This window comes from Homo sapiens, chromosome 8 (assembly GCF_000001405.40).
Source record: "Homo sapiens chromosome 8, GRCh38.p14 Primary Assembly".
In the NCBI taxonomy this organism is placed as follows: Eukaryota; Metazoa; Chordata; class Mammalia; order Primates; family Hominidae; genus Homo; species Homo sapiens.
In genome coordinates this window covers 34,315,841-34,324,439 of record NC_000008.11, presented here as the reverse complement: position 1 = coordinate 34,324,439, position 8,599 = coordinate 34,315,841, and the positions used below count along the sequence as shown (strand labels likewise).

At 39.4% G+C, this 8,599-nt stretch overlaps 1 pseudogene; it reads left to right on the top strand.

The window, feature by feature from the left end:
- Window positions 765-1,480, top strand: RPL10AP3 (ribosomal protein L10a pseudogene 3; annotated as a pseudogene).

The following is an 8,599-nucleotide window of genomic DNA, read 5'->3' as shown; positions in this document are numbered from 1 at the left end:
GCATACACATCCATGAGATTCTCACTTTTTTTTTAAGTTTTCATGTTTTGCAGCCAAGTTTGAGATCCAGTGTGCTTAGTTCAAGCCTTCACTACAATTTTATCCACCTCTACATAAAAGCTAGCCTGCGCATCTTGGTTAACAGCACCACCTGTGAGTTCCTTGATGTCTATTGTGTGTCTCCCACATGTGTTAATAAGAAGCTTAGACATTCTTTTCAATAAATGAAAATGTTTTAATAAAATAAATAGCTCCCTAATAATTGATTTATTTTAGCAAATCAAAAAGTGCCTAGCCCATTTTGGACTTTCTAATGGGAATTCTTCCCCCCAGCCTAGCCCATTTTGGATTTTCTAATGGGAATTCTTACCCCTAAATACCATACTGTATATTTCTTACTCAAACCACTGATATTCATGTTTATTACTTGATTTTTTTCTAAAAGTTGAACAACACAAATGCTGCCAGCAGATCTATTGCTGATATGAATTCTCCGCATGCAGAAACCCATCTAATCATCACTCCAGCAACTCTAATGGCCTTTACTGACTTGGCAAAGTGATTTTATGCATTGCAGAGGGCAGGTAGACTAACAAACCAACACAAGTAATCCATGCAAATTCTCAGTTTCACTTGTATGAAGAGCCATCCTGTTAGCACTCTTATTTCTTCAGAGACAATGGGTTTAAGCCTCTTTCCATAAGAACAGCCCAAACTTCCAGAGTAGATGCCATGCTATATGAACTTTATTATAAAATAATGACAGGCTCTTTTCCGGTTAGCCGGCTCAAGAAGCCATGAGTAGCAAAGTCTCTCGCTACACACTGCAGGAGGCGGTGCGGGAAGTCCTGCACAGGAACCATCACAAACGCCACAAGTTCCTGGATACGGTGGAGTTGCAGATCAGCTTAAAGAATTATGACCCCCAGAAGGACAAGCGCTTCTCGGGCACAGTCAGACTTAAGTCCACTCCCCACCCCAAGTTCTCTGTGTGTGTCCTGGGGAGGCAGCAGCACTGCGACGAGGCCAAGGCCGTGGATATTCCCCACATGGATATCGAGGCACTGAAAAAACTCAACAGGAATAAGAAACTGATCAAGAAGCTGGCCAAGAAGTATGATGCAATTTTGGCCTCAGAGTCTCTGATCAAGCAGATCCCAGTCCTCGGCCCAGGCCTAAATAAGGCAGGAAAGTTCCCTTCCCTGCTCACACCCAAGGAAAACATGGTGGCCAAAGTGGACGAGGTGAAGTTTATGATAAAGTTCCAAATGAAGAAGGTGTTACCTCTGGCTGTGGCTGTTGGTCACGTGAAGATGACAGACTATGAGCTTGTGTATAACATTCACCTGGCTGTCAAATTCCTGGTGTCATTGCTCAAGAAAAACTGGCAGAATGTCCGGGCCTTATGTATCAAGAGGACCACGGACAAGCTCCAGCGCCTATAGTAAGGCACATTTGAATAAATTCTACTGTTACCAGTCAAAAAATAAAATAAAAAATAAAACAAGGCCGGGTGCAGTGGCTCACGCCTGTAATCCCAACACTTTTGGAGGCTGAGGCGGGTGGATCACGAGGTCAGGAGATCGAGACCATCCTGGCCAACATGGTGAAACCCCACCTCTACTAAAAATACAAAAATTAGCCAGGCGTGGTGGCGGGTGCCTGTAGGTAGTCCCAGCTATTCGGGAGGCTGAGGCAGGAGAATCACTTGAACCCAGGAGGCAGAGGTTGCAGTGAGCGGAGATTGCACCACCGCACTCCAGCCTGGCGATAGAGTGAGATTCCGTCTCAAAAAATAAATAAATTATAAGAATATAGTAATTATTATTATTATATTGGCCTTTGGTATTCGTGGTAGAATAAAACCACATGTGTCCCCTGTTCTAATTGAAAATGACTCATCCTCAGGCAATAATCAATGTAGACACAGAAGCAAAAACATTATATTCAAGGAAATGAGGTAACTTCAAAGCACAATAGATGGAAATTAAAAGCTGTTAGTCAAGGATAATAAAGGAGTTGGCAGGAGAGCTCATTCCCAAACATGTAAATCTGAAGATAAACAAGCAAGTTTTGTTCACAGAATCCCCCAATAGCTGAGAAACTGGGCAGTGGGAACACTGAAGGGGAAAGACAAGGTGGGACATCAAAAGGGTGAGTCTAGATTAATAGACAACAAGAAAACAGTTAAAAGCCCAGCTTCCAACACTACTTGGAGCAGAAACGCAACACCCTGCACTATCCTCATAGGAGAAAGGGAGTCAATTTTCTGGAAAAGATAATAAACCAGAGAGACTTGGAGTTATAGGCAGAAAATCATTAAGGTGAAGTGCTGTTCTGAAGGTAGAATGATTAAGTTAAAGTCTGCCTATTTGATGATTATTAGGCCTCCAGCTTTCTTTCCTCAATCAACCACAGAAGAGACACAATCTGGTGTAAACTTACCACACTCTCAGGCAGGAGACTGGAAAATTTATCTCAAGACAAGCTAAATCACTAAGTCTTATCAGACCCAAGAATGCTGCATCTAAGCCAACAGTTGCGAAAGCTTATCAACAGATCATTTTATACTACAGAACTACAGTAAGGCTGACTAATTGAGACAAAGGTTTCTTAGATAACTGAGGGTACACTAATGAATAAAATAGAAAAGTTAGTTGTAGGTATATCTGAAGCAGTTAGATACCCCCAACCCCCTTCACCACTATAGTAAGTAGAATCACAAATGACCCCCAGGATTCCCATCCCTAGCACACATACTCTGTATAGTCCCTTCCCTCAAGTTTGGGGGAAATGTGTGAATATAATGGTATATCACTCCCTTAATTAAGTACAGCATTAGGTCCTTGTTGCATTGCTATAAAGAAATACCTGAGACTGGGTAATTTATAAAGAAAAGAGGTTTTATTAGCTCATCATTCTGTAGCATGTACAAGCATGGTGCTGGCATCTGCTCAGCTCCTGAGGAGGCTTTTACTCATGATGGAAGGTGAATCAGGAGCAGGCACGTCACATGGTGAGAGCAGCAGCAGGAGAGAGTGGGGAAGGTTCCACACACTTTAAACAATCAGATCTTGTGAGAACTCACTCATTGTGATCCCAGGGATCACAGTGGGGTCATGGATATTCCCCCATGACCCAAACACCTCACACCAGGTCCCACTTCCAACACTGGGGATTAAATATCAACATGAGGTTTGGGCAGAAGCAAATACCCAAACTATATCAGTCACTTTGTGCAGTAAAAATGATGGGAGGCTCCCTCCTGTGACTACATTATATTTTTTACAACTCTCTCATAGTGGGCTAGAGAGAAATTCCCCTGCTGGCTTTGAAGAAGTAGCTGTTATGTTGTGAGAAGGCCTTGTGGTTAGGATCAGCCAACAACCAGCAAGGAAATGGAACCACAGCCTATAACCACAAGGCATTTAATTCCACCAACAACGAATGAGCCTGGAAGAAGATCCCAAGCTCCCAGGAAGACAGCCAGAGGATACCTTGATTTTGGCCTTCTGAGAAGCTGAATGGAAGACTATTGTGCCAATTATGCCAAGCCCAGACTTCTGACCTACAGAACTGTGAGATAATGAATAGGTGGACGTTAAACTGCTATCACTGTGAAGCGCATTCACTGGGCGCAGGTTACCGACTTGTCTGAGTCAGGTGAGACATAACACCCACACACAAAGTTACATGAAGCAGGTTTATTAATTATACACAGGCAGCAAGGGACAATAGAAGCCTAGGACTCATGTTTATCCAGGCTTCTAAATGAATGCCATGCCCCTAAAACTCAGGAAAGCTACCTAGGGTGGATGGACTCTCATCTCTATGTGCCTCTCTTGCAGCCAGCCCACCTTGGGCTTTGTACCTCAGGGTCACAAGACTGGCCGGGCTGACCCACTCAAGGATGTCCTGTTTCTAGGGGGGAACTGGAACAGAGTCTAGGCTGATCCTGCTAGCTCCTCCTTACATCAAGATGTTCCATTCCCAGTACATTCCACAGTTACATTGAGAACTACAAGTGAGAAAGACAGAGAAGAGTTGGGTCTCTCCAAGGCTACCCAGAAAACTATTTCCCAATGATTGTTTTAATTTGTTACTCAGCCATAAAAAACTAACTATACACCAACCAAAGGAAGATCTTTAAGAGAGGCTGAGATAGTTACAGGGACCTGTATTTGGAGGCACCAAGATCAACACAGCGTGGGTGCTGTCTATAGCAGATTGGGTGTATTGTCAGGAACCTGGCAATAAAAAATGGCACACTCAAACTAGATAATTAAGAAGACTTTAATAAAATGGCCCATTAAAATGCATGAACATTGGCCGGGCACAGTGGCTCACGCTTGTAATCCCAGCACTTTGGGAGGCTGGGGCAGGCAGATAACGAGGTCAGGAGATCAAGACCATCCTGGGTAACATGGTGAAACCCCGTCTCTACTAAAAAAAAAAACACAAAAAATTAGCCAGTCGTGGTGGTGGGTGCCTGTAGTCCCAGCTACTCGGGAGGCTGAGGCAGGAGAATGGCGTGAACCCGGGAGGCGGAAATTGTAGTGAGCCGAGATCGCACCACTGCACTCCAGCCTGGGGGACAGAGAGAGACTCCATCTCAAAAATAAAAAAAATTAAAAATTAAAAAAATTTTAAAAAATGCATGAACATTAAGGAAATAAATAAAGGATAGGGTAGTATTCCAGGATCAGCAATGGCAGGAGCCATTACTACTTCTAGGACTGAAGGGGCAAAGGATGTGGAGTAGATACTAGAACTCAGAGAGTAGCTGTGCAGAAAAAGCTATTATTTGGCAGGAGCTGTGTACTTCAGCAGAGGGTTGCAGCCAACTTAAGATAAAACTATCATCAAAAAAATCTGAGCAACATAAATGCAGATGTCTTCTCCCTTCCTCTAATCTCCTGATAGTGTCTACACAGAGTGAGCCAAACAAAAAATAGAAGAGATGTTCATTGATATATCTCATTGGAAGCATGAATGAAATTGCATTCAATTAATATATTTATTTTAGGAAAAATATTTATTTTCCTCCTTTCTTTGCCAAACAACCCTCACATTTGAGCTGGGCACATAGCTACTTGGAACAAAGTCTGTATTAATAGCCTTCTTTGCAGGTGAGAGAGCTTCTCAGGGCAATTGTTGGGAAGGAAAAACATGGAATGGAATACGAAGAGACAGAACTTATTTACACAGATAATGATGTGTGCCCGTTAGTGTCTTTCTCCCTTTTCCAGGTGACAAATGTCTTTTATATAAGGTCTCAACAGCAGAGTGATACAGATTTGAACTAAGCCTACTATTGTATTTTAAATAAATTAGTAGGAGTAAAGGGAAGAAATAAATAATTAATGAACATAAGCCATAGCTGTAAAGGTCCTCATTTCCCGAGCCAGTCACAAGGTCTAAGTTAATAGTCATAGCTACTTTTTCTCACTACCCATTTTATCCTATCTAGGCCAGACGCTTGCCGAGAGTAAAGAGAACATTACCAGAAATTAAGCACAGAGCTCACTCGTCTGCAAAGAAGGCTATTAATACAGACTTTATTCCAAGTAGCCACGTGCCCAGCTCAAATTTGAGGGTTGTGTGGCTGAGGAAGAGGGAAAATAAGTATCTTTCTTAAAACAAATATATTAATTGAATGCAATTTCATTTGTGCTCCCAATGAGATGTTGGTATATTATTTTTTTATTTTGTTACTATATTATGTTTGTTTTGAATTGAATAAAAATAATATTTTTAAAAGGATGAATGTCTAAGATTAACTAAGTAAACTGTCAAAAAAAGGAAAAAAAAAGTCAAGTCATCTTATCAGATATCAGAACATACTATAAATCCATTAAAATAGAATTATAGTATTCATAGTGGTATAGAGAAGTATACTAGCAGAACAGAACAAAATTCAAAAGTAGATCTTAGTATATTTTAAAATGTAATGTACAGTAATGGTGATAGTTTAAATTTAGAGTCTTAGTGGTGTATTATTTAATAAATGGTACTTGTACATTGCATAGAAAATGTATTTGGATTTTTATTTTACATCACATATAAAAATAAGTTCCAGAAAGGATTCTGATATTATAAACAAACTAAAATATCATGAGCAATTGGAAAGCTATATTACCAATATAATTGCATAAGAGACCTCCTTAATGAAGACCAGAAACCTAGTAGCTCGGTAAGAAAGGAAAGATAGGGTGGACAACATAAAGTAGAAAAAAAATGCAAGATACATCAAAAACTAGGTCAGTAGAAGATTAATAGACTGAGAAAATGTTTAAGTAGCACAGATAACACAGGCTTAGTCTCCTTAATAAAAAGCACTTACACATTGATAATGAAAAGACAACCAATTCAAAGAATGATAGGTAAGCAGTATGAATAATTCACCAAAAAGCAAAACTAAGTGGCCAATAAACATATGGAAAGTGGTTTAATATAGCTGATGAGCAAGGAATCATGAGTCAAAGTAACAGTGAATTATATTATACTCTATATACCCAAGCTTAGCAACAGACTGGAGATGGAACATGTTACTAGCATGGAGACGTAATGTGGTAGTTAAGAGTGTGGATATGAGCAGAGGAGAGAGGATGAGGGGTGTACAATTTGATTGCACTTATATATTCAATGGAAATGTGTGTGTGTGTGTGTGTTTTAAAGAACTTACATAATATTTTTAAGCTAGTACATCCATTCTACTCAAGAAATCTCTTCTAGGGATTACATTTGCAAAGGTACACAAAGATGCTCATTGTAGCATTGTTTATAATTCCAAAAATGATATAAACCTTAAAATAAACCATGAAGGTAGTGGTTTAATAAATTATAGCATATTTCCACTATAAGACACCATAGAGTAAAGAATAAGGTAGAGATACACTTACTGAGGGGGAATATTGTTCGATAAGTGCAAGTTACTAAATAATACAAATGATATTAGGTTGGTGCAAAAGTAATTGTGGTTTTTGCATTAAAAGTAACAGCAAAAAAACGCAATTACTTTTGCACCAACCTCATATAATGCCATTGCAGGTTTTTTATATATATATGTATATATATGAATACTTATATGTCTGGAATAAATAATGAAAACTCTATTAGGATGCATGCTAAACTCTTAATAGTGTTACTTTTGGAGGGGAGTAGAATTCAGGAATTAGGAGCTATAACTATATATATTTACATGTATATAGTTACAGAAAAAACTATATACATAACTATATGTGTGTATTTGAGCTGTTTGAGCATTTCATAAGGATAATGAATTCATGTTATATTATCTGCATATTAAAATAATACCAATAATCACATCAGAAATTATATATTGAGTTCTCTAAAAGCACAAGATACTTCATATTTTTGCTAAGCAGAATAATGCCTCCACCCCTGGACAAAAAGACAAAGGATGTCCACATTTGAATGGCTAGAATCTGAATATGCCATGCCCTATGCATGGCAAAGGGGAATTAGGTTGCATTAAAGGAGAACTGGCTGACTTTAAAACAGGAAGATGTTTATGGAATATCTGGGTAGACCCAATGTAATCTCAAGGGTGCTTAAAAGCAAAAGCAGAAGGCAAAAGAAGAGTCAATGTCAAAGCGATAAGATGTGAGAGAGACTCAACAGGCCATTGCTGGCTTTGAAGATGGAGGGAATGTGGAAATTGTCCAAAAGCTGGAAAAGTGAGGAAACAGATTCTTCCCTGAAGCCTCCAGAAGAAATGCAGTTCTGCTGAAATCTTGATTTTAGCCAGCAAGGTCCATTTTGGAGTTCTGAACTATAGAACTGTGAGGTAATCAATTTGTGTTGTTTTAAACCACTAAGCTTGTGGTAATTTGTTAAAGCACCAACAGGAAACTTAGGCAATATGCATCACCTCATTTAAAATTTACAAGGACCCTGGGAGATATACACAACTGTGGGCCCCCATTTAAACAAGAAAAAACCATTGTTCAGAGGGTTTATTTAGGGTGACACAGCTGGTAAGTGCTGTGGACAGGACTTGAGTTAGTTCCAGAGGAATCTAGAGCCTCTCCTGGCTGCCATTTTGTATTTTCTGTCCTCTGACCTATAACTCCAGTGCTCCTGGCTCTGTACTCAGCCACCAGCAGATGTTTACCATCATATAAGTCAGTAAGAATTCAAGTTTGAGGGGTAAGACAAATCTCCATTTAAACCCACTTACTAGCTGTGTGGTTAGTTTAAAACAAACTACTCAATTTAAGCTTGTTTCCTCATCTATAAAAGAAGCAAAATACTTTTTACCTTGTGGGCTGAGGAAAAGCATTCAGTGAAATAATCTATGAAAACTGTCCAACAAAAAGCTTTGTATAGAATTTTGTTTTAAATAAATGATATTTATTGTTGGTGAGGACTATTACTTTGTTATAATGACTCTGGGAAGCTGTTTTTCTTCTAGATGAGGTTTTAGGTTTTGTTCATACCTTTCTCATATCTGTCAGCTCCTGATTCAGAGACGGTGGTTAGTGCCTGTGGCACAGAACTATAACTACAAACTAGGGAACTATTAACTGAGTACAAGTATAGAAGAAGTGGCTTTTAGTGGTGTGGGCACCAGTGA